Source organism: Homo sapiens, chromosome 9, assembly GCF_000001405.40.
Source record: "Homo sapiens chromosome 9, GRCh38.p14 Primary Assembly".
Classification (NCBI taxonomy): Eukaryota; Metazoa; Chordata; class Mammalia; order Primates; family Hominidae; genus Homo; species Homo sapiens.
The window spans coordinates 30,217,215-30,218,498 of NC_000009.12; the positions used below are offsets into that span (position 1 = coordinate 30,217,215).

The 1,284-nt window shown below is 30.0% G+C and overlaps 1 annotated feature.

Annotated features, from left to right (window-relative positions):
- Window positions 228–397: an enhancer, noted in NCBI's record as "experimental_107898 CRE fragment used in MPRA reporter constructs". NCBI's record gives its function as "activates a minimal promoter by MPRAs in K562 erythroleukemia cells, with activity observed for the non-introgressed 9:30217525 variant allele {active_cell/tissue: K562}" and the evidence as "EXISTENCE:reporter gene assay evidence [ECO:0000049][PMID:34662402]".

A 1,284-nucleotide genomic window follows, 5' to 3' on the forward strand; every position in this document is an offset into this window, starting at 1 on the left:
AGGAAAACCCAAAAGGCCCCTATGCCTTCAGTGAGTTTTAAATTTAAATCAGTGAGGAAAACAAACACAAACTGAATTTCAGTACAAAAAGTGGTAATAATGTAAAGAAAGACAAAGAAGGAAACAGATGTTTCAAGAGAAATATTCTTCCTCTCTGACATAGAAGTAGGACCTTAACACTTTGGTAAGATTTCATCAAATACAGACTGAAGATGAAGTAACAATTTCAGACTGAGGAAAAAATATGAATAAAGGAAGAGAGATAGACAAAATGTTCAATATGTTAAAATATCACTGTTTGGGGAATAGAAAAGGAAGTAATGGAACATTTGGCTAGAAATGTAAGTAGGTCAAAGGCAGATCATGGAAGTTTTCAGATGCCTAGTGACAATAAGTTTCTTTAAACATTAGCGAGATATTGTAGGTTTGGGGTTATTCGATGGGATGTTATCTGGTATCTAATAACACTGATGAATTTTCACAACATAATATATAATATAGAATTGAAGATAGAATTCTGGCTAATGCCTGACTTTAGCGGAAGAAATATGCTGGTCCATAGGCTGCTATAACTCTGAATATGCATACATGTATGTATAGATGTATACATGCACGGATTTATTGTGTATATATGAAGACAAATCTATTAATTTTTATTTCTTGACAGTTTTTAACATTTATAGAGATTGAACAATGTTAGATACCCCTGATGTAACTGAAAATTACTATATGATTTTTTATATAACTTTAATGATGAAACTGATTATATCAATGTGTTTTCTTACATGGAACCACACGTCATTTCCTGGAATAAACCTCATTTAGTCATTTAGTCATAGTGTTCTGGGTTTGTTTGTTTTTTTTTTTTTTGGTATGCTCTTGGCATGTCTGCAAACATTTATGTAAGATTTTTCATCAATATTCATAATAAAGTTTGTAGCTTTCTTTTATGGTGCAATCTTTTTATATTTTAGGATCAATATGTAGTAGCTTCATAAAACAAATATAGAAGTTTTTATTCTATTTCTATGTTCTGGATGATTTAGGTAGCTTTAATACTATATTATTCTTAAAGATTTGGTAGAATTCTGTGAAGTTTTCTGAGTCTGGTGATTTATGTTGGGGCTGCATTTTTTTAAAACTTGAATTCTATTACAGTATTATGTTTATTTAGATTTGTTATTTCTTTTCCCATTGTCTTCTTTTATATGGCATTTGGCCTGTTTAGATTTTCTGTCACTACTGAAGTAAATTTTGGATGGTTTCACCATTCTTTAAAAATTA